Here is a 27,172-nt window from a genome sequence, read left to right as displayed (position 1 = left end):
CTGATAACGCTTCTGGGGTCAAGTTGGCTCAATCATTGGATTTGCAATAGATATCCCAAGTTTTAAACATTTCATTGTAGGTTTTGTTGTTGTTGTCAAAATAGTTTAAAACATAGAATGTTTTTAGAAGTGTGATTATAATTTCTCTTTTAGCCAAAAAAGAAAAATCCTCAGCAAGTTTTTGAGAATTAGAGGACTGTAAATTGAAGCAGACATCTATAAACTTAGAGGGAAAACGTCTCTGCTAAAGGCAGCAGAGTGAACTGATAACTTGAAAAGCATTCCTGGAAACTGATGCAAATACCAAATGCCGCTGTGCTCCCTCCCTGCTGATGTGGCAGGGTTTGAAGCAGGCAGCCGTCAGCATTTGGTGGGAGGCCCTGGACCTAGAAACAAAAAATGAAAGTGGAGAAAACCAAACAAGAATCTTTCTTTCTTAAAGTGAGAATCAAGTTCTAATTGCAGCTGTTTTTCCATATAACTTGGGGGAAAATAGTTGATTAGGTGTTTGTTTTAAAGGAGGAATTTTTAGTGGTCAGTTAGATCTCTGTTAAATATTTTTGTGACTCCAAATAAGGAGCAGTTTTTCCTGGGGATGGGGGTGGGACTGGTAGAGCTGTGAGAGCTGACCCAGAACCTGAACTGAATGCCCTGGTGAGGGCCCTGATGGTTCTAGTGTGGGGAGAGGGGAGAGGGAGGGAGGAGAAAATGAGTAGAAGGAAAAACAAGTAAGGGGTGGGGTGGGGTCAAGACTGAGAGTAGAGGGATGGAAGAAGGGAGGCAGAGGAGACTAAAGATTCCTACAACTTTGGTGCTAGACGGTTAATACCTGGGTTCCTATGCCCAAATTATTTTCTATGAAAGAAAAGATAATTTCTTTAGCTTCCTATAACCCACTGATTACAAACTGGGCCACATGTTTATATATGGCAAGAAAATGGTTGAGAGTCTGGCTAATACAGAAATGCAGAACAGCCTGACGAGGCCCTGATGTCTTAATCTTATATTCCTTTCTTTGATCAAAGGTAAACATCGGACTGACATCTCCTTTCAAACATTCATTGAGGATCTACTCTGTGAGAAGAAGCAATACCATGTTATCTCATTCTAGTTCCAGTTCTAGTTGACTTGATTGTCAAACGACTGCTAAGAAGGTATTTGCTGAGAATTAATGTGGTAGCTGAAGAGTTAAGTGCTGGTTTTTAATTTTGTATTTATTTATTTATTGAGAAGGTCTCACTTTATCACCCAGGCTGGAGTGCAGTAGTATGATCTGGGGGCACTGCAGCCTCGAATTCCTGGATTCACGTGATCCTCTTGCCCCAGCCTCCCTAGTGGATGGGACTACAGGTGCATGCCACCATGCCAGGCTAATTTTTTGTATTCTTTGTAGAGATGAGGTTTCACCATGTTGCCTAGGCTTTTCTTAAACTCCAACTGAGCTCAAGTGATCCACCTGCCTCTGCCTCTTAAAGTGCTTGGATTACAGGTGTGAGCCACTGTGCCCAGCAAGGGCTGATTTCTTTCTGTGATATTTGTTTGAAAGGCATGGAGATTCCTGCTCTGTGTCATATCAATTAGGATATTCAGTTCCCATTGATTATTTAAATGAGTCAAGATATATATATATATATTTTTTTTTTTTTGAGACAGAGTTTTTGCTCTGTTGCTCAGGCTGGAGTGCAATGACACGATCTCAGCTCACTGCAACCTCTGCCTCTTGGGTTCAAGCGATTCTCCTGCCTCAGCCTCCCAAGTAGCTGGGATTACAGGTGTCCACAACCACCCCTGGCTAATTTTTCTATTTTTCAGTAGAGAGGAGGCTTCACCATGTTTGCCAGGCTAGTCTGGAACTCTTGACCTCAGGTGATCCACCCACCTCGGCCTCCCAAAGTGCTAGGATTACAGGCATGAGCCACCTCGCCCAGCTGGTAAGATGTATGTTTACTCAAGCAATATTTAGTGTTATGCCAGGCACTTACTGGGTTGGTGGGTATATAATTATGAAACAGAATGCCAAGGTCATTGCCCTCAGGGGGCTTATAGTCTGTTGGAGGATAGAGAAGAGTGTGATGAATACTGTAATGGAGGAATAGAATGCTTACATGTTTATGGGAGGATTTAGGATGGACACCTCATCTAGATTCAGATAAGTGGAATCAAGGAGGGCTTCCTGGAGGATGCAACATCCTTGTTCAACCCTTAAATACAAACAAAATTTTAAAAAGAGGTGTGAGAGTGGTGTGGGCACAGAGGCATTGAAAAATTTGGCAATCTGAGGAATGGAGCATTTCAGTACGATGGGATTGTGGTGGAAAAGAGGGAGGATAGAGGAAGGAGCTAGAGATGAGATTGGTGGTTTTGGCAGGGACCAGATCAAAAAGGACCTTTTAGGCTGTATTCTGGTGTTTGTGTTTTCTCAAGTGTGCTATGGGAGTGTTTAGATTATTTTAAACAGAGAGGGTAGGAAACCAGAGAGTGTTTTGAATAAGATGACTGGGGCTGCAGTGTGGAGAAACGATTAGAAGGGGAGCACAGTAGAGACAGGGAGAACAGTAAGGAGACTGCAGCAGGAATTCTGAGGGGAAATGATGGTGGCCTGAACTAGGATAGATGTGGTGGAGCTCAAGAGAAGTTGATGAGCTATAGAAATGTTTCAGAAGTAGAAGAAAAGTGCTCTGATGTTTGGTAATGGGGAGAGAGAGAGAGAGGAAGAATTCAAGGGGATGACTTAAGGAGCACTGCCAGTTTCTGGCTTTGGCAACTGGATGACTGGAGGTGCCATCCAGTGACTTGGGGAACATTTGAGGAGGAGATAGCTTGGGGTGGGGAGGGGAGGATAAAGAGGCCAATTCATGTTCAATTTTGGGTGATTGTGGGCCACCTAAGAGGAGAAGTCTCATAGATAATTAGATACTTAGGCCTCAAGTCCACAATCTCTATTTGGCCTTGACTTATGGATAAAGGAGTCATCAGATGACTGATGTCATGGGAGTGATGAAATCTCCCAGATTATATGTGTGTGTGAAAGTAGAAAACAATCAAACATAGGACAAAACTCTGAAGAGCTCCAATGTTAAAGAATGAACAGAAGAGGAAAATCATCAAGGCAACTGAGAAGGAGCAGCCACTTTGGATGGGGAAAAGCCGTAATGTCCCCATCACAGAAGGAAAGAAAACACACTTTGCAGGGAGGAAAGAATAGTTTTTTAGGGTGCTGGAAAGTTTCATGTTTTTCTGAGAGGTCCAGAAAAGGCTAAAAAGATTACATAAATTAGCACCTTGGAAGTCACTGGTGACTTTCGTAACAGTGGTTTCAGTGGAACAAAATCCAGGTGAGCGAAAGTGGAAGAGGGAAAGGTGAGGTAATAAACACATGTGGTGTGGAATTTTAGCTATAACAGGAGTCCAGAAGGAGCTGGATAGAGTTTAAAGATGATGTTAGGATTACTATGCAAGAGGATTATGCATGTTTAGAATAAGATCATTTGAAGCAGCTGCTTAATTTTAACACTCACCCCCATTTTAAAGCCTTCCACTAAAATATTCTTTAGGTTTTCTATGTTATGCCCCTCTTCCTTTGCTTTTTAGTATTGAAGCAAGGAACATTTAAGTGTGTATGGATTTTTTCTTCCTAACTTGTTAGTGAATCATCAATTTTTCTCATGAGCTTCTTTTACAATGTGTAGACAGAGTCGATTTATCTCATATTTCATGAATCCCAGTTTAATCTCCAGTGCCCCATTTTTCAAGTTTAGAAATATGAAATAGGTAACCACTTCTTTACTTACACATGATTCTGAGTATTCTTTTATACAGATTGTATAGAGATAGTTGTTTTGTGGTATCTTGTTATTGACTATTCCAAGCCCCATAATTCAGAGGGATGTATTTGGGCACACAAATTTCAACTTTCAGTTAAGTCTGCCTTTTTCTTTGAGAAGATGCTGATTACATTTCTGCAGCCAGTTCCAAATCCATCCTTAAGTTGAAAAACACCAGAATGTTGATGCATTCCAAAAGTCCACCTGGTTTATTAGAACTTTGGTTGGCTTGGCTTCCAGACTCATATTTTTCAATTCTTTTCAAGTAGCTGAAAGAAATAAGGAGACATTTACTTCCAGTTGCAAGAAAGAGTCTGGGTGTTGATAATTGATTAATTCATCCATGATCTGTCTTTGGTTCATATATTACATATAGAAAAACAATTATAAAGACTTAATTCTGTGTGATACTATATGTGCAATTAATACAGTTTATATTTTATTTTTTAAAACTGGCAAATTAAGTTATTGGTATTACCGTTAAACTTTTTTTTTTTTTTTTTCTGAGATGGAGTCCCGCTCTGTTGCCCAGGCTGTAGTGCAGTGGCATGAACTTGGCTTACTGCAACCTCTGTCCCCAGGGTCCAAGCAATTCTTGTGTCTCAGCCTACTGAGTAGCTGGGATTACAGGCACCCGCCACCATGCCCGGCTAATTTTTTTTGTATTTTTAGTAGAGATAGGCTTTTGCCATGTGGGACCAGGCTGGTTTCAAACTCCTCACCTCAAGTGATCCGCCTGCCTCGACCTCCCAAAGTACTGGGATTACATGAGCCACCACGCCTGGCCCTGATAAACCCTTTAAAATTTGATTTTGACCATTGGAATTCTTTGTGTGAATAATCTTTCAGTTAGTTAATGTGATGTCATAACTACCTGTTATATAGTGTGCTAAGTACTGTGGCGGGAATTTTAAATAAATTATCTCAAAGTGCCAACAATCATTATCTGCATCTTAAGGGGTGTGTTTTATTACTTTTTTTCAATTTTACAAGACAATTGAGGCTCAGAAAGCTGAAGTGACTTGTCTAAGGCTTCCTAGATATCCTAGAATGGGCCAAGTCCTTTTGTTGTACATTTTCAAAATGCCTTGTACTTCTAATACCTAATATCTACCACAAGACTGGTTGGTTAATTAATTAAAAGTGCTAATTATTCATTGACTAGCTTCACTTGAATGTGAGGTCTTTTATAGCAGACACAATGCCAATTTCATTTACCCTTCTATCACTAGATCCTGGCATAGTGCCTGCTGACTTATAGATGCTCAACAAATATTTACCCAATAAACAACTGATTTGGCATGACATAGCTGGAAAATAAGGAACATAAATATAAATACTGGTTATTTACTTCACTGATGATTTACTATTTAACCCATACATTAAAAATTTTCTTTTATTGATATAATGGCAATCAACACATGAAATGTACTTAACACATAAATGTATTTTAGGCAGTTCACCCAATAGCCATCCCTAATAGCTCATAAACATTTAAGTCAAATTTATGAGGAACAAAATACCATAAGAATAGGAAAAAGCTCATTTTATTAATTATAAAGTCATGAAATAACTGAGAGTTGGAAGATAATTTAAACATCATCCAAAACATAATCATAATTATAAATGTGTGGAAGCAAGATTTGTTTTTCTACCATATTTCTATTGTCTGACAAGTGTCTGGTATACAACAGGTATTCAATAAGTGCTAGTTGCATGAATTAATTCCTTTTACAAATGAGAAAACATGACTAGAGAGGTTATTTGACTAGTCAGCTTATGGTAGACCTGTAACTAGGGGACTGGCCTCTTGACTGCAAGCCTCTTGCTCCTTCTTTTAAATTAAAATAAAATCTAGCATTTGTCTGGAATATTTTTCAATATTTAACACAACAATCTGAAGAGTTTTACAAGGGGAAAATTATTTCACAAGGAGAAAATTGAAGCTCAAAGTTAAAGACTTTCTCCAGGTCACTGGTTCTCAAAGCGTGGTCCCTGGATAATAACATTAGCATCACCTTAGAACTTGTAAGAAACACAAATTCTCATGCCTTATCTCAGATCCACTGAATCAGAAACTCTGGGTGTGGCTTCTCAGCAATCTGTGGGTTAACAAGCCCTCTAGGTAATTCTGATCATGCGGCAGTTAGGAACTACTAGTGTTGAGGAATGTGACTGTTATGGTTAAAGTTGGATTTAGATAAATTACTTTGATAGCCTCATGGAGAATAGATTAAAGTAGGGCAAGATGGAAACCTGGAAGTCCAGTTATGAAGATAACTTCTTTTCTCTCTTCTCCTTCACTCCAAAAAGCCTCCTTCACATTTTTTTGCTCTCTCTTTAATATGTCTGTTGACTTACTACTTTTATTCTATGTTATTTCTAGTTGACCAATAATAATTGTATATATTTATGGGGCACAATGTGATCTTTCAATACATGTATACATTTGGAATAATCAAATAAGGCTAATTAACATATTTATCACTTCAAATATTTATTATTTCTTTCTGGCGAGAACATGAACAAATCCTCTTTTTTAAGCTCCTTTGAAGTATACAATACGTTATCATTAACTGTAGTCACCATGCTGTGCAGTAGATCACAAAGACTCATTCCTTCTGTCTAACAGGAACTTTGTACCCATTGCCAACGTCTCCCCTTGCCTGTCTAGGCCCCTTCTTTTCTTGATTCTCCTTGGTACAAAGAGATGGGTAGCTGGACATTCTGGAAGCCTATTAATTATTCTTTATTACAGTATTTGTAGCATGATAGGAAGAATTTTAATCCTTTTCTTTGCTCATCCTAACTCTACTTAAAGTTATTTAGTTAACAAATTTACAGTGAAAAAATGTGTACTGAAGGGTATACATGAACTCTTCAAGAAAGCTGAATGTGATTTGAGTAATGGTAAAAACCTGAATGTGATTTGAGTAATGGTTAAAACCTGGTGCTAATGAAGTCTGGGCTGTAGCCTCAGTTCCTCTATGGACCAATTAACTTCTCCCAGTTACAGTATCTTGGAATTCACCACTCTGTGGACTTGGAGTGCCATTCTCTTGGTAATTAAGCAGATCAGGTGAGGCAAAAAAGATGCATACTTTACTGTAAATTCATTACTCCTCCTAGAAAAATGCCTCCAGAGGCCCAGGTGATTGTATTTACACATTGACATATGCTTCTATTCCCTGTAGTTTCTGTGTCACGTTTTGATACTTGAATAAAAATGACACTTTGGAGCCTTGAAAAATGGACTTTCCTTCTGAAGTACCCAGGAGAGTAGGTAAGCGAATAGATCTTCCTATTCAGAACTTCAGAATGTGCAACATGCTGGACTAAAACAGTCACGTAAGTCATTGTTCATGTCTGTGAGTCCCTGTTGGGTTTTCTGACAGGGACCTCATTTTACAACTGCGGCCATTTATGCACACCAGCAGACATACTCCTGCCCAGACTTGGAACAGGACCTGTTGTATAGGATAAATTTAAGAAGCTGTTCTAGCCTTTTCTAAGCATTGTTTATCGTATTTCTCTCTGGGGCTCTGTTCTTTTGTCTGGGCTGCGTATTTCTGAAACCAGACGAAATTGTATGTCCATTCTTATATCATCTATCTCGTTTTCTTGCACTTGAGTTTCTCTTTTGATAATGTGCCTGGTTCCTCTATTATTGGTAAAAATCAATCACTCTATTCACTCCTTCCTTCCTTCCTTCATTCAACAAAACTACTACTGTCTGTGTAAGACACAATGTTAGAAACTCGGCCTGATGGGAGGATTGCTTGAGCCTGAGTTTGAGGTCAGACTGGGCAACATAGAAAGACCTTGTCTCTACAAAAAGTAAAAACATAAAAATTAGGCATAGTAGTGTGCGCCTGTGATCTGAGCTACTCAGGTGGCTGATGTGGGAGGGTCAGTTGAGCCAGGAGGTCAGGCTGCAGTGAGCTGAGATTATGCCACTGCACTCCAGCCTGGGTGACAGAGCAAGATCTTGTCTCAAGAAAAGAAAAAAGGGAGAGAGAAAATAAAGAAAGAAAGAAAAAAAATTGGGCCTGAGCTATGATCTTGGCAACCAGCCATTTATTACCCCTTCCTTACACCCTGGAGGCTGGAGTTCTGCTCCTAAATTTCAGTGCCATGTCTGTATATTCGTGTCAGTTACTGTTGCAGACCTAACTGCCTGGATCTCCAATAGTGCTTCCCCAGGACTCTACAGTCCTACACTTGTTGCGGCAGCTGCATTCCTTCGTGCAGGACCTCTCTGATGGCCATTCTGGCTTATTGTCTGCAGCTGAGTGCATTTCTGCTCTGCCTGCTCCCAATCTTCACTTTGCTCTCAGAATCTCCATCTGAGAGAATAGGATAGGTTTTGCCAATTCCTCCTGCCGCATCTTATTTTGAATTATATGTTCAACAAATAATGATTAAGTTCTTATTATGTGCCCAGTGTAGATGTGGGAATAGAAAAAGGAATAAGATAGAAATTCCAGTCTCAGGAGACTGTTACAGATAGAGTAGATTCTCCCTAATTGTGAGGATAACAAGATATTGCAGTTGGAGGTATTTAAGATTTTAGGGGGATTAAATGCAAACTTGCATAAATCTTCTTTGTATTATCTCTAAAATAGAACCATCAGAACAGCATGCTAAACAAAGAATATCGGTAACATTTTTCACATCTTAAATTAATAATAATGGTTATAGTACAACTGCTTTCCATTTATCATCTCTTGCTCAGGTGAAATTTCTCAGGGCCTTTCTCCTCTGCTATTTCAATAAAATGCCCATAAATTTGCTTTGCTTTGCCAAAGTAATATACATGTGAAAGATCTTTCCCCCTGAATTTGATTCTCCATCCAAATGTGCAATGCCTTTCTGATTTGATGATTTGGAATTGTTGACTTCTGCATCCTCAATCCCAGAGATAACTCCCCAAAGTACATGCCATCAGGCCCCTCTTACACAAATACCACTTCCCTCCTTCCTTGCAACTGTGGGAGTTCCGTTTTAAGGTCCTGGTTGACGTCTCCTCAGATTCCCTAATTTGCTAAAGCCTCAAGGCAAAAACCTCTGTTACTGTCATGCCATCTGCCTTCCTTTATTTTTTATTCCCATCACCCAATTTCCTCTTTTTCTAATTATCCCCAAAAGGAGTAACTCATAATTCTTATATACTGGAACTAAAATTCTTGTGGTTGAGAAAAAGTATACAAAAATAAACTGCATATACTGAAATACCTTGTTTATTAAAATTTGATATAGGGACAATTCATGCATGGGTAGAGGTTACTATAACTTACCTGAGAAAATAATGCATTAGCTCTTTAAAACAAAGATATTTTTCCTTAATGCAGTGAACAATGTATTAACAAGGTCTAAGGGAGTTAAAAAGTCACTTGTTCTGCTTGGGGAAGTTGACGAGGCTTCCAGGAGAAGGGAACATTGGAAGTGAATCCTGGAGAAATTCACCAAAAAAGAAAGGAAAGGAAAACCTTTTCTAGACAAGATGATATAATATTTGTAGTGGGAGGTGACATTTATCATAATTTGTACTTACATAATTAATGTTATCATAATCTCCCTCTAGAACAGTGATTCTCAATCTGAGGTGATTTGTCCCCCAGGGGATGTTTGGCAGTGTCTGGAGACATTTTTGACTGTCATTAACTGGGAACAGGGGTGTATCCTACTAGCATTTAGTGGATAGAGGCCAGGGGTGCTGCTAAACATTCTATTGTACATGGGACAGAGCCATAACAAAGACTTACTCATCTCAAATGTCAATATTGCCACTGCTCTATAAGGTAAGTCCCACAAGGGCTGGAATCTTGCCTGTCTTATTCACTACTGTGTCATAAAACCTATCATGGTTACAGTCAGTGTTGGTACTCATTTAACTTTTGCTAAGTGAAGAGAGGCATGAAAGAGAAGTCGTGTTTGAGAAAGAGCAATATGTATGTTAGTACTTGGGGTACAATTAACAGTGCAGGCCAATGGATGATGAGGGCCTAACCTAAAGCTGAAGCCATGAAGACAGAGAGAAGGAGAGAGATATTTAGGACCTAGAATTCATAGGACTTGGTGATCAATTAAATATGGAAAATGGAGGTGAGAGTTCTGGCTTGGGCTACTAAGTGGGTGTTGGTATTGTTACTTGGGATGAGGAAGACAGGAGGAGAAGCAGGATTTGTATATGTGTGTGTATATGTACTTGCCTTTGAATATTTATTAAAACCTTAGTTTGTATTGCTATCAACAAGACTTTTTATGTAACCATTACCCAGGTATGGAAGATATCAGCATATATAATTCCAGTTTTTAAGAAGCTGACATGTGAATCATTTCTCATTCATTCAGCAACTATGTATTGAATCATAGGCAGTGAGGATAGAAGGATGCTTTAGATGACAATTGCCTTCAAGTTGCTCGTGATTTAGTGGGCATGCGTGAGAGATAAATAATGTGAAAAAGATTAGTGATAGAAGTCTTTCCGTGGGAAAACAGAAATAAGGCTTCTAGCTTTGCCTGAGAATATTAAGATGGATCACCAAGAACAGAAGATCAATCTTGATGGGTGAGGATTTGTTGGGCTGGCACTCCAGGAAGTAAAGAGGAATATGCAAAATCATGGCTTCATGGTTCAATCAGATGGTTCACTCATTTATTAACTATGTATTTTATATCTACTATGTCTCAGTCACTGTGATGGGATTTGGGAACCTAAGGCAAGAGGATTCCTGCAGAACAGATAGGCATTAGAGAAGTCTACAGAATAAACTGTGATGAAACATCTTATGGGAAATATGTAGGGTGCTATGGGAATACAAAGCAGAGGTCCTGATCTAGCTATGGGACATAGAGAAGGACTCTAAGGAAATGACAAACTCAGAACTACAATGGTGTCATAGCTCGGACTGCTGTAACTAAATAGACTGGTTGGCGTAAACAACATTTATTTGTCACAGCAATGAAGGCTAGGAAGTCTAAGATCAGGGTGCCAGCAAGTTTAGTTGCCCGTGAGGACTGTCTTTACATGGCAGAGAAAGAGAAAGAGAAAGAGAGAGAGAGAGAGAGAGAGAGAGAGAGAGAAAGCACTCTGGTGCCTCTTCTTACAGGGACACTAATCCCATCGTGGGGTCCCTATCTTCATGACACCATGTAAACATAATTACCTTTCAAAGGCCCCACTTTCAAATAGCATCACATTGGGAGCTTCAACAGATAAATTTTGGAGGGACACAAACATTGAGTTCATGATAAATGGGTACAAGTTAGTGGAAGGAAGCAAGATGAGTGAGATAGGGGTTGAATTAATGCAAGTACGTTCCAAGTTATTCAGAGGATAATTAGGGAGGGCCTTGAAAGGCATGTTAGAAATTTATTCTAACAACAATGAGAACTCTCTGAAAGTGTTAAATCCTAACCCGAATATTAACTCTAACCTTGCTGTAATTCTAATTCTGATCAGATGTGTGTTTAGAAACATAACTCTGCGGTCTAGAGAATGGATTGGAGCAGGTAAGAGGAACGTAAGAGAATCTTCATGATGATAGATGAATTGTGGTAGGATGTGGGGATGATAACATTGAGGATGAAGAGAATTAGGTGAATTTGGGATGTGAGAATCAGGAAAAGAAAGGAATTAAATATGACTACCAGGTTTCTGCCTTGTGGTAACGTTTCTGAGACAGAGAATCCTGGCAGAACTTGAGGGCTTTAAAATATGGTGAATTCCCTTTTAGGCATGCTGTGTTTGAAATACCTGCACATAATTTCCTATGGCTGCAACATGGACTGCCTGAGGGAAAGAATCAGAAAAGAGGGAGTAGGCACCAGCACTCAAATCATAGAGGCAGCGGTATATATTGTTAGAAATGAGGAATCATTGAGGGATTCTCTGTAGGACACTTCTTGGTGTGATTCGTGGTTTAGAACACTTATTCTGGCAGTGGGAAGGCTGGATTATGGAGAGCTAATATTGGAGACAGTCAGCTAAGGAGCAGTTGCATCATGAAACATGGTGGTAGTAGGTTGAGCAGTAGAAAGAGGGTAAGAATTATATTTAAGAGATAGCTTCATAGTATTTATTGATAGAATATCAGGGTTAAAGGAAGAATTGAGAATGGTATCTAAATTTCCTTTAAAGCATTGAATGGATGATGGTGTCATTCACAAAGCAAGGAGGGGAAAGGCAGACTTCTGAACTTGAACTTATATGAGGACATGGGATGCTTTGCAGAATACACTCCAGGCAACAGCTGCTGGCTTCTGTGACATTGTCATGGATAGTTTTATTAATGCTGACTCATTTCAGTTTCTCTCTATAACTTCTTCTTTCTCTTGGTTTCTAAGGATGGACTTCTTCCTCTCTCCCTACACTATCCCTTGGAGAAAACCTTTTATCAAGAAGATACCAAATATCATCACTGATGTAAGTGCTGCAACTAAAAAAGGTTGACTTCTGTTTTATGAACTCAATGATAGCATTATATACACAACTACCTGGATTTTTTTTTCTTTTTGAGACAGACTCTCGCTCTGTCACCTAGGCTGGAGTGCAGTGGCGTGATCTTGGTTCACTGCAACATAAGCCTCCCGAGTAGCTGGGATTACAGGTGCAGAGTCTCGCTCTTTCACCCAGGCTGGAGTGCAGTGGTGCGATCTCGGCTCACTGCAAGCTTCGCCTCCCAGGTTCATGCCATTCTCCTGCCTCAGCCTCCTGAGTAGCTGGGACTACAGGCGCCTGCCACCACGCCCAACTAATTTTTTTTTGCATTTTTACTAGAGACAGGGTTTCACCATGTTGGCTAGGCTGGTCTCGAACTTCTGACTTCAGGTGATCTGCCTGCCTTGGCCATATTTTTATTTGGATGCTTTGCCATTTTCTCAGTTCAACATATTCATATCTCAGCTTTCCAGAATTCTTCCATTATGTCCAGAATCCTTATTTCCACCAAGTCTCTTAGTGCACTAATGTTCTTGTACTTGCACACATCTGAAACCTCAAGATCATCTCTGATCATTCCATAGTCTTCATTCTTCAAATTCAGGAAATCATGAAGTTCTATTTTTTTTCCTTTAAGATGCCTCTTATTTCAGTCCTTCTTATGTTGCTACCCCTAATGTTCTAGCTAATAGATAAATAGAAAAACATTCATTAAGGCCCTACTATGTGCCAGGTAATCAAAGGTGCTCAGAGTGTAGTGCTAGTGAAGGGACAAATGCATAAACCAACAACTACTGTTTAATATGATATGGAATCCTCATAGAGTACAATGTACAGTGGTGGCACCAATGAGAGAGTGATTAATTCAAACTACGAAAATCAAGGAAAAATGTACAAGGTATGGCATTTGGAATCCACTATTCATAGTTAGTAAGGCCAGAGTACAAATTGTGAATCAGAAAGTTACAAAGAATAAGGCTGTAAAGGGACCAAATAAATCATCCTAATCAAGAAATGCATCATACCACACCCAGATTGTTGTCCCAACTTTTTAGCTGCTTCTGATGCTTCTAGTTTCTCCTCCATCGGTTTAACAAGAATTTATTTTAAAGTGTATTTAGAATGAATTTTCAAAGCACTGTCATGTATGTCACCCATTTAACCATTACAACACTTCCTTGAGGTAGTATGCTCAAGCTAGTAACTTTCTCAATATTATATAACTAAGTTTGAACTCTAGGTCTTCTAAATTAAATTGCCAAATATTTGTCATTTATCTATGCATTTTGAGTATTTCTGCCAAAATGTCTATGCATTTTGTATATTTCTGCCAAACTAGAAATGCAATGGTTACTTACTGCTCAAAAACTTTCACTGGCTTCCAATTATCCTATATCAGCAAGAAGAGCCTCTTTGCTTGGTGTTTTCAAGACTATCCACAATGTGGAACCACCATACATATTTAATATTATTTTTTACTGTTCAGTAAACTGTGACTCTGTGTTTTGGTTATCTGTTGGTGCCTGACAAACTACCTTAAAAATAAGTGGCTTTAAACAACAAGAATTTTATTATATCTCCTGATTTATAGATCAAGAATTCAAGTAGGGCTTAGCTGGGCAATTATTCTATTCTAATTTGTACTGACTGAGGTCTCTTAGAATCCTGATGGCAGCTGGTCTGGTCTAAAGGATCCAAGATGGCTTTGTTCACATGTCTGTTGCCTTAACAGAGATGACTAGAAGGCCGAGCTCAGCTGGAACTTTTTGCTGAAATGCCTATGTCAGGCACCTCTAGCATAGCGGGAAGATTTCCTTTTTGGCTCCCAGAGTGTTCTAAGACAGCAAAGAGGAAGCTGCAAGACTTTTTCTGTCTTAGCCTTGGAAGTTATGCAGTGTCACTTCCACTACATTCCGTAGAAAAAAGAGAGCCACAATGCCAACTGAAATTGAGGATGGTATTGCACAAGGACATTATTACCTGGAAGCATAGTTCATTAGGGAGCAACTTTTGGAGATTGCTTTATACACACTTGGCTTTAGTCAAACAAATTATCACTGTACTAGCTCATGCCATGCTTATTCCTGCATCTGGACCTTTAACTGTGTTGATCTTCCCAAGACGTTCCTTCCCTCTCCTCCTTTGACTTTCCTAGACCCTACCTGTCCTTCCAGGCTTGTTCAGTTTCAACTTCAGCATTTATAATCTTTCTTTGAATACTCTAGTTCTTAAAAAATCTTCCCCATTTTAGAAATACAATAGCATTTATAGTCTAACATAGGAATAAAAAGGAGAAGACTGAGTTGGAGATATTTTTGTGGAAGAATTAACAGGGCAAAATGCCTATTTGGGTGTTGTAGGCTAGCAATAGGAGCCAGTGAGAGATGATATTGTAGCTTTGAGCCTTGATAGCTGAGAGTATTGAGCTACCATTCACAGAATCTTGAAACACCAGATGGACAGTGGGTATAGGAGAAAATGTAAATTCCTTTTTGAAATATGTTACTTTGGAGGCATAGTGGAAGAGCCAGGTAAAGGAATTGTGTAAGCAATAAATAAAGAGAAATGGAGTTTGGGAAAGAAGTGAGGATTAGAGAAGTAGATCTGAGGGCCTACAGGCAAGGAGATGCTAGTTGAGTCTGCGGGGTTGAATAAGCCTGCCAGAGGAGAATTTGTGGAGATGGAACATAAAATAGCCAAAAACAGACTTGGAGCAGAAAGAATATGATGATCCAGAGGAAGAGACCTGGGGGAGTGCCAGGGAGAGCAGATCTTCATAATCCTAAAAAGAAGGGAGCTTCTAGAAGGTGAGGATGATCAAGTGTTAAATGCTGAAAATGTGTTTAAGAAGCAGAGGACTAAAGAAGATCATGATCATGAGGTCACTGACTATGGATCTAGAAATTGTTAGGAGGAAGCCTGATTGTATCCAACGTAAGTGGGCCATGGGGTTAGAAGTAGGAAAAGTGAGGCCAGACTGGCCACTTTTTCAAGAAGTTTAGCAGTAAAGGAAAAATAGGATATCTTCTACAATAGAATTACAAACAAAACTTTTAATGATGACTGTTCTTATTGGATGGTAGTCATTAAGGAAAGTAATGTGTGTTTGTGTGTGTGTGTGTGTGTGTGTGTGTGTGTGTAGGTGTATACTATTCAGCAGTGTCTTCCAAGCCCAGATCTGCATTTAAACCACTGGAGGAACCAATCATGCTTTCTAAGGCCCAAATCAAACTACTGAGTGAGACTTATTTATTTATTTATTTGGAGACAGAGTCTCACTCTGTTGCCTAGGCTGGAGTGCAGTGGTGCAATCTTGGCTCACTGCAACTTCCACCTCCTGGGTTCAAGTGATTCTCTTGCCTCAGCCACCTGAATTACAGACATGTGTCACCATGCCCAGTTAATTTTTTTAATCTTTAGTAGAGACAGGGTTTTGCTATGTTGGCCAGGCTGGTCCCGAACTGCCGGCCTCAAGAGATCCACCTGCCTTGGCCTCCCAAAGTGCTGAGATTAGACTTAAGCCACTGTGCTGGGCCTGAATGAGAAATTTTGAGGCTGGGCCCCATGCATTTGTAGGTTAAAAAATGCTCACAGACTGACTTAAGAGTTTTGGTATACCCAGAGACCTTGAGCTTCAGAAAATAGTTGATATCTTTATGGGGGTAGGGCTAATATGCAGTTAGGTTGTCAGAAAAAAAATTGCAAAATGAAAACTACAATAAGAATTCAAGATGTGGCTAGGTGTGGTGGCACAAATGTGTAATCCCAACACTTTGGGAGGCTGAGGCTGGAGGATTACTTGAGCCCCGGAGTTCAAGACCAGTCTGGGCAACATAGTGAGACCCCTGTCTCTATAAAAAGTGAAAAGATTAGATGGGTGTGGTGGCACATGTCTATAGACCCAGCTTCTCAGGGGGCTGAAGTGGGAGGATCACCTGAGCCCAAGGAGGTCAAGGCTGCAGTGAGCCATGATCATGCCACTGCATTCCAGCCTGGGACATAGACCCAGGCCCTCTATCAAAAAATAAAATAAAATAAAATAAAAATTCAAGATGTAAAGAAGTAAAAATAGAAGACAAGTATCTCTAATTGAAGACCAACAGCTACAAAAGTTGTAACTTTATATAGATTTTCTTTTTTTTCTTTCCTTTTTTTTTTTTTTGCCTCAGCAAGCAACGTGGACAATTTTATGAAAATCTATCATCAGAATTCCAAGGCATGTTCCTTTCTTTTTTTTTTTTTTTTTGTTGTTGTTTTGTTTTTTTTTAAACTGGGCTGGGGGAAAAGGGTAAAAAGAATGTGATTTGTGAGGCAAGCTAAACCTCAAGAATTTTTTCAAACTAAACACTTTTTCTAACCATTTGATGTCTGGAAGTCTGGATATTGGGGGCAGGGAAATTAGCAGAGCTGTGGCTGTAGGACCATTTGTCATTTCCTGGGAGGTGCCTGTGCTTAACTCTTAAGGGAAGCACATTTGAATACGCTTCTGGGCTTTAACCAAGAGGAGGTCCAACCCTCCACTTTTTCTTTTTCAGATTGGTGTTTTCTTTCCCTACTCCTCAGTGGAAAAGACTGGCTTTCCTTGAGGGAGACGCAAATAGTAGTGCCATTTGGATGTCAATGAGACCAACACTGTTTAATGCCTCTGTTTTCACACTTTCTTGTGAAAATCCAAAACACAGAAACAATGTCACATTTTATTAATCATATTTAGATAGGAATGCATTCATACTGTTGTGTTGTGTGTATTTTCACAAGAAAATCTTTGTCAAAACTGAGTCTGGCCTTTGTTTTGAGACTGGTATGCCAGGAAAGGGTTACAAAATCCTGTTTCTTCTTGAAGTATAACAGCTGGTAAGAAAGCACAGCATCTCCCTCCCTCCCAGCCCTGGGGTTGTACTAAGTAACTCACTGCCAATACCATCCCCCATAGCCTCTCTCCGCTTAGTAAAATCCCTTGCAAAGTTGATATCCAGCAGCAAGCAAAGGAAGCAGCTTGGGCTCGTTAGCTTTAGGAAGACTGAGGAAAAGATTGTCCTAGTTAAGGAGGTTTTAAATGCAACAACTTGTATGAGATCTCCAAGATTTGTTGTTAGAGTGTTGTTCCTGAAAAGGAACAATTCAAGATAAGGAGTGGTCTTAGCCTTATTGAGAGCCTGAGTTAGAACTGGAAGCCCCAAACCCAAAATCACAATCAAGTCTGAAAGCTCTACCTCTTCAATTATGTGAACACCACTTGGCAGCTTTTTGCTGAATGCGACTTACAGTAGATAACAACTTCCATTGTCCCTCTAATCAATGTCTTACAGAACTGAGCTTGCTTGCTACAAATAAACAGGGACACAAAAATGAAGTGTCCGCAAAACGGCACACCCTTGGGTCAGCATAATAACCACTTAGGTTGAGGAGAAATCCACATGATTCATGAAGTCCTTAACTAAACACATTAAGAAACTATATATTACAATCTCCCCAAGTTGGAATAAGTGATTTAAGTAGCAATCAGGAAGGAGAGGTTGAAATGTTGATCTCAGAATGGCCTTTCTCTCTCTCTCTCTTTCTCTCTCTCACATAAATCGTCAGTGTGTAACCCTCATCTTTTGAATAAAATTAAGTCCCCGAGGAAATAAAAAGCAACTCATTTAAATCCAAGGATTGCCTGGGTGGACCCAATACACTCAAATGCTCATGTGAAAGCCACCAAACTGACTTAAAAGGCAGCAGTTGGGAAAACAGAGAGAGAGAGATCAGAAAAGTTTTATAAGTGCATACATTCTACTACAGAAAGGATGGCTGGTTTCTCTGATGAGGGCTGAGGGCAAACTCCCTCTGTGAAGGCGTCTCTCACCCTCACAGAGAGGGGTTGAGCCACGCTGGCTTCTCTCTGGAAGGGAGGGAGGTGGAGCCACCACCAGGCAAAGCTCCAGCTGGTCAGCTATGTGGCACTGCTGCTATTGTTGAACAAAATTCTTTCCTCATTACATATCTCTCTTCTCAATTTAATAGAAAGTACAGTTCTTGGGATTTTTCTCTTCATGAACTTGAAGGAAATCAGAAATGAAAAGCTTATTTTCTCCTCATTTCACAAGGAACTAACTTGCTGAATGTATACCCTGACACTTGTTTATATAACATGAAGTCTAAGGACAGAGAAAAAAACCCAGAAACTTGATCAGTTCTATAGGATGAACATTCAAGCACAATCCATAATTTACCAATGAGAAGTCTGTTAAGGTTGACTTGCTGTTTTTAATGGATTCCGATTGAGTGGTGCTTTGCTTTAAATTAGTTGTGTGAATTTAATGATCAGCCTGATATTGTTCTCATCATATATGTTAAGGGCAACTTCCAGAGTTGGGACATTAATTTTTTGGGCAAATTGTTAAAAACTTGGCAGGAACAGAAATGAGAGAGGGGTAAAATGCCCTTTGATCATCATTTCTTTCATCTGTAAATTGGGGGTAATATTTTCAAAGCCTATTTAATAGAATGATGAACAGAACCATTATTTGTGAATTCATCAATTGCTCTTGAAAGTCAAATGGAAGGTGAGAGATGAGGATACAGTTTCATTCTCCTACATGTGGCCAGCCAATTATCCCAGCACCATTTATTGAGAAAGGTGTCCCTCCTTCACTTTATATTTTTGTTTGTTTTGTCAAAGATCAGTTGGCTATAAGTATTTGGGTTTATTTCTGGGTTCTCTATTCTGTTCCATTGTTCTATGTGTCTATTTTTATATCAGTACCATGCTGTTTTGGTGACTATGGCCTTATAGTATAGTTTGAAATCAGGTAGCGTGATGCCTCTTCTCACTGATATGTGGGAGCTAAGCTATGAGGACGCAAAGGCATAAGAATGATACAATGGACTTTGGGGACTTGAGGGGAAGGGTGGGAGGGGGACAAGGGATAAAAGAGTACAAATAGGGTGTAATATATACTGCTCGGGTGATGGGTGCACTAAAGTCTCACAAATCACCACTAAAGAACTTATTCATGTAACCAAATGCCACTTGTACCCCAATAACTTTTGGAAAAATAAAAAATAAAAATATAAAAAATAAAATAATAAAAATGTTTAAAGAGAAAATCACATGTAAGGGTTTTGCAAATTATAAATCAGTGATTCCCACCTGGAGTGGGGAGAGTGGAGGAATAGAAATGTTAGTCACCTCTTAAGACTATAGCCAGATTTGAAGGCATCAGTTCATATTTTCCCTTAATTTTAGGTGTGGAGGCTTCTAATTCCTGGCTAATATGGTGACAAAATAAGATAGAATTTGCATGATATGCATGATCAATTATCATTGAGTTGGCACTGTTACGCATATAGGAATTCTGGGTCCCTACCCCAGATCTGCTGAAACAGAATTTTCAAGGGTTGGCCCAGCAATCTGTGTTTCAGCAAACCCTCCAGCTCATTCCAACATCCACTCAAGTTTGAGAACCACAGATCTAATCTAATCCTGTTGACTACCTGGTCATATCACCTACTTGAAAAATGACAATAATTTTTGTCTCTCAGCATCTGCTTCCTTCTTCTCATCCTCCTTTTCATGGTCACTAATCATTTCCTAGAGTACCTTTTTCATCATGCCATTCCTCTTCTCAGAATTTCTAGGAAGCCACTGATGACCTACCACATCCATTTCTACAGATATTGTAGCTAAAAGGGGCCCTTATGAGGAAGTCAGGCCATAAAAAAAAAATATTCTGAGGCAGGCAAGTAGGGTGGGTGAGTGTGACAAATCAGGTTATAAATCCTCTACATCAAATTGGCCTACTTATATCTAGTTAAAATATGTCTGTAGGCAGCTTTGGGAAGTGGGAGATACAGGAAAAAAGGGAGATGCCACGAAAGGAAAACATACAAACTGGGGTATGTCTTTAGAAGGGGCAGGGAGACTAGGATCCAAGCCACTGTATTTTGATATTTGTCATTGTCAGACCTCTTTTTTGTTCTTTCTTTCTTGGAACTAGCTCAGTGGAGTGTATTAGTTTGCTAGGGCTGCTGTAACAAAGTATCACAAAGTGGGTCGTGTAAACCAGCAGTCCTCAACCCTTTTGGCACCAGGGACGGGGGTGGGAGGGGGATGGTTTCGGGATAAAACTGTTCCACTTCAGATCATCAGCCACTAGTTAGATTCTCATAAGGAACGCACAACCCAGATCCCTCGCATGCACAGTTCACAGTAGGGTTCGCGCTCTTATGAGAATCTAATGCCACGGTAATGTTCTCACCCTCGGCTTACCTCCTGCTGTGTGGCCTTGTTAAAGGCCAAGGACCTTGGCCCCGGAGTTGGGAACCACTGGCATAAACAACAGAAATGTATTGTCTCACAGTTGTAGAGGTTAGAAGCCTGAGATCAAGTTGTTGGGAGGATTGGTTCCTTCTGAGGACTGTGAAGGAGAGCGCTCTTCCAGGCATCACTCCTTGGCTTATATTTGACCATTTTCTCCCTCCATCTTCACTTCGTCTTTCCTTTGTGCCTGCCTCTGTGTCCAAATGTCCTCTTTTTATAAAGACAGCAATCATATTGGATTACAGCCCACCCTAATGACCTCATTTTAAATTGATTACCCTTTAAAAACTATATCTCCAAATAAAGTCACATTCTGAGGTACTAGGGGCTAAGATTCAACACAGGAATTTTGGGGGGCACACAATCCAGCCCATAACATGGCATTTCCACCTTTTCCTGTATGCTTGGGTGGTCCTACAAGGAGTAGTTTATAGGAGGGTAGTGAGTGGAACAGGTGCCATGCAGAAAAAAAAAATAAATAAATTTTTCACCTAGGGAACAGCTCTTGGTTAACTCTAATTTTAAAAATGAAGAATGTCAACACCAAAGCTTCCTTTAGAAAACTTCTAGTCTGACCTCGTCATTTTGATGAAAGAACCCCCTCAGGGAAGGGGCTTGGCCACAGTTACAACTCCTGATCGGATTTAATCAGGCTTTGATTTCAACTCCATTGCTGATCCAGTAAACTGTTTCCCTAAGAGGTAAAGGGACAGACCCAAGGTTCCAGCAGAGCTTGGGACCACTAGACTCAGTTCTTTTTCCAGAAGTCTGTGCTCTTTCTGGTTAATGTATCCTGCAGAGGTGCCAGATATACTTCTGAGCACCATAAGGCTTTATGTTCTTGTGCTTAACTTTCCTAGGTCATTCTGCCTCCTGAGACAACTATTTTACTATGCACTATTGGAGGTTGCAGCGTTTTTTTCTCATCAAAATCTACTTTCACCATATTTTTACTGTGCAGTATTTGCTTGACTTTGTATCTCTTAACTTGTTGTTGGTTTGAACTCTTATAATAATGTTATAGCAGAAATAAAGAGAAGATTTGCCATTTCTAGTCATTTCTAGTAAAAAAGTATCCATTTTCTGCAAGTTGTCAGGAAAAAAGAAACAGATTGAAATAGCTTTTAATCTTTTAAGACACACAGCTGCAGAAAAAGAAAGAGTTGCTGATCAGTTTCTGCCCTTATAAAAAGTAGAATAAAACCTCATTAATTTAATCTTAATTGTGAGTTTTTGATTATATGAAAACATTGAATAACATAAATAAGATAACAAAGGGAAAGGTTAATTAGAGGAAAATTTTTTCCAAGTATACCAGAATAAAGCAGGTAAAGAAGTAATTCTCTCTTGTTAACAACTCTATCTCTAGCATCTAGCATACTGCCTGGAAAATAATACATGCTCAATAAGTTTGTGTTGAAAGAAAGAATGAATAGATGAATAAAAAGCAGATTTACAATATAAGCAGATATTGGCAATACTTGGGCTGGTGCCTGATCTGTTATTCTAATTGCAAATCTCGCTTCGTTATTTATTAAATTTGAATCTCAACGAAGCAGTTCTCAGTCTTGTTTTAATTACCGTAGCTTCTTTAAAGCAATAAGCCTGAATTTCATTAAAAGAATTACATTATCCAAACTTCATTAATTCATAGTTTTCTTTTCCTTTATTTGGTATGGCATGGTGAGGTCTAATTTCATTGAAATGACCCAGAGGGAAGTAAGCGACACCAAATAGGAGGCAAGAAAACTGATTAAAGAAAAGACTCCAATGTTTACAAGAATCCCTGTCTTCCTTTATGAAAGTCAACCTCACCTAAGCGAGAAAAAAACAAAATACATTTTTAGAGAATAAAGATGGATGAGTGTGGTTGTCTTTGGGGTACCTGAAAAATTGTTAGGAAGTATGGAAAATAATCACAGCTTTAAAGATAAGAATCATAAACATCTCCCCCGATACAGCAAACAGTGTCACCCATGTGGTGTGTATCAGTCCAGCTGGTTGAGTAAATCCTATCGAAATAGTACAATATTTCTTCCTCAACTTTACTTGACTCCAGAAGTGAAATGAATGCTTAAAATGTTGTCTTTTAAATATTGTTCAAATTCTTTATTTTAAACTTCAGTGTCTTTTATGTTTATGATTGGTCTAGATGTGTGTACATAAGTCTCCTTGCTTAATTTTACTGATTGCAGGGTCAAAACAAAATCGACATTCTGAGGCAAATCCATTTGTCATCTCAAGTGGTTAACTGAGATTGGCATTGGTCTTACCTAGCTGGGGCCTGGCTTTTTCCTTCAGTTAAGAGCCAATGCTGATTATAATCTAAAGAATAGAGGTGAGAGATGGAGAATAGTTGCCTTTGGCTAGTCTTACTGTCTATTTTATTTAGGTCTACTATCTGGTTTTCAGTAGATAACCACTGTTTTCCCTTATTCCTGGTATCAGGACTTATTTTCACATCTACCAGTGTTGCATTTTTCTCTGAAATGTTCACTATGGTATTGGCTTTTATAGGAATTTGTTTCTTTTTCCCCAAACATAAATGTGTTGTCCTCGGACCCATTTGCCTACGCTAAGCAAATAAAACTTCTCTGCCTCAGTAAACCTTTGCATCCATTATTATTAGTGATGACATGCTATTGGGCCTAATGAAAAACCACTACATAATAATTAAATTTCATAGAGAGGATAACCAGCAAGCTTTCAAAAAAAATTGCTGAGCATGATCAGAAAGTTGCATTTTACTGCCACAAAGTATTAATAAGAGCTACTCTTCATTGATAGTTCTCCCCCTTTCCCCATTTAGCATGCGTTTATGGTTAATCTCCACAACAACTTAAAGATGTTGAATTTTCTTTTTCATCACCTATATACAGATGAGAAAGCCTAGGATTCAGGCCAGATCGTCAATAAGTGGCAGAGCTAGACTCAGAATTAACTCTGCCTAACTCTGAAGCCCACGGTTTTGCAATAAAGAGCTGCCCCTCTATATGGTCTGTAATTCAGTGGTAAACATAAAATTTCTAAGCATTTAGATCACTGTAAATTGCACCTTTAAAATGTCATTTTCCAGAATGTTCATAAAAACCTCTATTCCATTGTGATTCATCCTGATTAAGTAAAAAACAGGAAAAAATCAAAACAGAAATACAGGTTTAATAAAAGAAAAAATATTCTCCTCAACCAAATGCCTTCGTGGCACTTGTAAACTTAGAGCTCTTTTGACTCCTGGCCAGAAATGAATAGGGTAATAGAAATGAAAGCAGAAACAGATGTGAGCAAGTCTTGGTGACCTGCCAAGGAAACAGTATGTTCTATACAGATGCAGACACAAATACAATGGATAAAAATCTCCTTAAAGCCATTGTTGTCTCCATTCACCAGGCACCAAACAAAGAGAAAAGTGCACATCGTTCATGGGTGACTTTTTAAAGCTTAGCTCTAAGGCTTGGCACACAGAATTCCATTTCCGTTCTGAATGATCTTCAGCTTCTTTTGCTAAGCATTATGGGACCAAAGTCTTAACCGATTGCAAATGTTTCTGTGGTAAACTTTTCCATAGGAGTCACCAGCTGGATTTAACAATGCTTATTCTTTCGCAGTAAAACTTGGAAAGAAGGAGTGGGTAACAACAAAATCTTTCTGTGGACATAATTGTAAGGAGTTGTCAATAAATTTGTTTTCTCTGTTTTTTAAAGTGCAGGGTGCTCAAAAGGCACAGGTAAAAGAAAAAAAAAGTACTTGGACTCTAATTCCTTCTCAGCGAGACTACTTCCAGTGGTTTAGGAGTGCAGCTCAGAAGAAGTGTGAGTGGTTTCCAGAAAAAACAGTATAAGTAGCCAAACCAAGCAATCTACTTAAAGTTGGGCACAGCAGAGCTGGAGGCCATTAGGAGTTTGAAGCAAGAGACATTCTTTTCCTTCCTTCCCTGACTGGTGGACCTAAGTATTGAATTTTAATAGAGAATCCAAACCTGACTAGATAGCTGGGAAAGAATTGAATGCTTAACAGTTAATCAGTGCCGTCTTCTGTTGTGTATCTTCATTAAGAATTGAGATTCTTTAAAATAGCCTTTCCCATCAGGATTAAAAGACAGAAAATCTATTATCACTATTTCTGGATGTTCCTTCTTATATTTCCCAGGAGTCAAAAGCCTTCATTAAAACACACAGCCATCCTCATATTGGACTTTCCTGAGAAGAGCTTTATTATTTAAGGCATTTTTTTTTTTTTTTTTTTGAGATGGAGTCTCACTCTGTCGCCCAGGCTGGAGTGCAGTGGCGTGATCTCGGCTCACTGCAAGCTCCGCTTCCCGGGTTCACGCCATTTTCCTGCCTCAGCCTCCCAAGTAGCTGAGACTACAGGCGCCTGCCACCATGCCCGGTGAATTTTTTTTTTCTATTTTTAGTAGAGATGGGGTTTCACCGTGTTAGCCAGGATGGTCTCGATCTCCTGACCTCGTGATCTGCTGGCCTTGGCCTCCCAAAGTGCTGGGATTACAGGTGTGAGCCACCATGCCTGGCCTATTTAAGGCATTTTGTGAGTAGAAAGACAGCAGGATTTTCCTTTACAAAGTAAAATTATAAACATGTAGTATAAGTAGCATATCCACCTAAAATATTTATTTGTGTTTTTTTTCTACTTTTCAGCAAAGGTGAAGAATGAGGTTATTCCTGACATAAATCATTTTTCTTTATTTTCCAGATAATGTCAGAGGAGGCCACTCTCTATAGCCCAACCTCCAGGATTTCAGCACTTCGTGGACATGGAGGCTGGTGTGTTTATTTTTTACATTAAACCTTGCTATTAGGGAGGAAGCCTAAATGTCTGATGGTGGCAATGTGTTCTTACTTGCATTAAGGGAGCTCACTCACTTTAGTGTTCACCACATCCGTCATAGCGCAGGCCGGAGATAGGCTCTGTCAAGCTGACTTGTCCTTGGTTCTTCCTGCATAATGCCACTTCTTGTTTGTGGTCTGTGGAATTCCTCTCCTATCTTGGCATTTCTCTCCAGAGGTCAAGACCTCCTCCTGGAGGCTTCTCTCTGGCAGGGACTCATGAACTGCATCTCTCTCTCCATGTATCTCTTACCTCTTAGGTAAGACTAGTAATGCTTTAAGTATGAGGTCTAGGGCAAACTCAAGAAGAATACACCTTTGAATCTTTTCATATAGTACCTAGGTTGAGTTAGTTTTGAGAATTAAAGAGGAACTTAAAGGGCAGAGAAGGTTTTTCTCACTGTAAAATTTTGACACCAAGTAGATACTATCTAATCTACTCAGCTCTGAGTTTAGACCCTGTAGTGACCTATAAATTCCTGTGAGAATCAATCTCATAGAGGATTTTCTTGCAGGTACTGCGATTGTCAGCCTCAACTCAATCCATAGCTGTGGACATTGCATATCTGTGGCTTGCATTATTTGTGTGATTGTGGCACATTTTTTGGATTCTAGATTGGGGGAAGCACACTTGAAAAGATGAAAAGGTGGATAGCAGGTTTAAAGAAAGGGAAAAATTTGGAAAACTAAAACAACTTCCCAAAGTTACCACACTTTCCAACTAGTCACTATTCAGCTTTAGACCCTGTTTAAATCAAGTTTTTGAATGCTCTGTCAGCACTTTTACATTAATGAAGCGAGATCCTCACACGTACCAGTAAATGCTCAGCTTTCCTTTCATGCTGAATTCAGTTTAACCTCTCATCTCTTACCCTCAAAAAGGTATATTCTATATCATACAGCATGATCAGGTCAGCTCAGCATCCTATCGATGTACATGATGATGATGGTACATCTCCTCAGTGCAGCAAAAATACATTTTGCACATTGAGCTGATACTCTACAATGATGAAGAGTTGACCATACACCAGTGTGCTGCAACCAGTTGAGAAACTGCCCCAGAAAGCCCTCACTTTCTGACTATTTCCAGCCTCAGCTTGAAGGTCTATTTCAAATGTAGGCATTTGAGTGGTAAAAATCTATAATTTTATGCATTTTTCTGTTGCTGATTCTTATGAAGAACTATGAAGGGTTGGAGATTTTATCCTGCTTGCAAACTAACAAGTAAGCCATCCACATTAAACTTTCCACAGTTTCATGAATACTAATAGAAAACACAAGACTCCTGGGTCAGAGACAAAGGATTGTTTATTATTTACGGTAATAGTATCGGTCAGAGTAAACATTTTTTGATACTTCTCTGAGCCCCATAGAGTGATGTAAAAACGGGCCAAATGACATTTGCACGTGCAGTGGGTTGGATTCTAGGAGAGGAAAACTGAATTTAGGGAACCCAAATATTTTACACTGGGCGGTAAGTTTTCCTTTATTTGCTTGTAGGGAGGCATCATCTCTCTTTTACTGGATGAGAAACATGCCTGCCCTTTGTTCCAGAGGGATATACCATCTGTTTCTTCTAAGGCTTTTCACTATATTAACATTCTTGAAAATATAGCCTAGAATAAAAAAGCAATTGGTGTTTCTCTTGAAAAATGTGTAGAAATGTGAGACCCACAAAGAATTGTATCGTAACAATTTTGTACTTCTAAAAGAACTAGTAATGATCATTTTTAGGGTAAAGGACAGCTGAATATTTTCC

General features: G+C 39.3%; 1 long non-coding RNA gene across 1 annotated transcript; it reads left to right on the top strand.

Annotated features, from left to right (window-relative positions):
• On the top strand, positions 367-25,347 carry COL1A2-AS1 (COL1A2 antisense RNA 1). The gene is made up of 6 exons (NR_147206.1): positions 367-441; positions 1,026-1,154; positions 1,813-1,931; positions 7,019-7,107; positions 12,174-12,252; positions 25,280-25,347. It is a non-coding gene; the product is annotated as a COL1A2 antisense RNA 1 (long non-coding RNA).
• Positions 25,348-27,172: the final 1,825 nt, after the last annotated feature.

This window comes from Homo sapiens, chromosome 7, assembly GCF_000001405.40.
Source record: "Homo sapiens chromosome 7, GRCh38.p14 Primary Assembly".
Taxonomy (NCBI): domain Eukaryota; kingdom Metazoa; phylum Chordata; class Mammalia; order Primates; family Hominidae; genus Homo; species Homo sapiens.
This window is presented reverse-complemented; position numbering and strand designations above follow the sequence as displayed.